Raw genomic sequence first — 1,032 nt, 5'->3', positions numbered from 1 at the left:
TGAGCCACCACACCCAGTCTTGCCCAGTTATTAACAATAACAGGACAAGCTCTCTTCCAATTATCTCATCATGGCTGGAAACAGATGTCCTCTATCTTTTTGTTTTCATGTTTATATCATTCATTTTGTTGTCTAACTTTACAGTCTGATTTTCTGTAGTCCATCTCCTTGAAGCAACCTTTGAAGTAAATATGAAACTTCAAATATCTGGAAATTCCCTTTTTTCTCTTAATAAATTAATAGAAATATGATACTACAAATATTTTTGTGGTTTCCTAGATAGGCTCTTAAGTCTCCTTAAATTTTTTTAAAAAACTTCCTGAACAAAGTAAGTAGGCTTTCAACACCACTGCAAAAGACACTGATACATACTATACCAATTGCCCAGAAAATTCAAAGGGAATCTTCCAAGTAACACTTTTGCCTCAAAATTTCAGAATAATTCACCACTGAAAATATTATCCTTTTATGCTGCAAGTGTGCAAGAAAGCATGACTCTCCTCCTCCATTCCCTGTATACACACGCATTCTTCCCTTCTCTGAAGGAAGATCTTTGATGTGGATGAGCAATTTAAGTATAAATTTGTTGGTTAATGTCTGTCAAAATATGTAGTTATGCTTTCTAAAGTTAAAGGATTTGCTGGCCATATAAGAATCAAATTGTAACACATTCATAAACAACACACACATTTATAATTATCATTTTGCTTTGATATTAAGTCCATTTATTAGTCCGTTTTCACATTGCTGATAAAGACATGCCTGAGACTGGGCAATTTACAAAAGAAAGAGGTTTATTGGATTCACAGTTCCATGTGCCTGGGGAGGCCTCATAATCATGATGGAAGGTGAAAGTCACGTCTCACATGGCGGCAGGCAAGAGAAGAGAGAACTCATGCAGGGGAACTCCTCTTTATAAAACAATCAGATCTTGTGAGACTTATTCACTATCATAAGAACAGAACGGGAAGGACTTCCCCCCATGATTCAATTATCTCCCACCGGGTCCCTCCCACATCACATGGGAATTCA

At 36.5% G+C, this 1,032-nt stretch overlaps 1 annotated feature.

Annotated features, from left to right (window-relative positions):
- Positions 635-804: an enhancer, noted in NCBI's record as "experimental_11902 CRE fragment used in MPRA reporter constructs". NCBI's record gives its function as "activates a minimal promoter by MPRAs in K562 erythroleukemia cells, with activity observed for the non-introgressed 10:27673995 variant allele {active_cell/tissue: K562}" and the evidence as "EXISTENCE:reporter gene assay evidence [ECO:0000049][PMID:34662402]".

Source organism: Homo sapiens, chromosome 10 (genome assembly GCF_000001405.40).
Source record: "Homo sapiens chromosome 10, GRCh38.p14 Primary Assembly".
NCBI classification, from domain to species: Eukaryota; Metazoa; Chordata; class Mammalia; order Primates; family Hominidae; genus Homo; species Homo sapiens.
The sequence above is the reverse complement of the archived record's forward strand: the minus strand, read 5'-3'. Positions and strand labels throughout refer to the sequence as shown.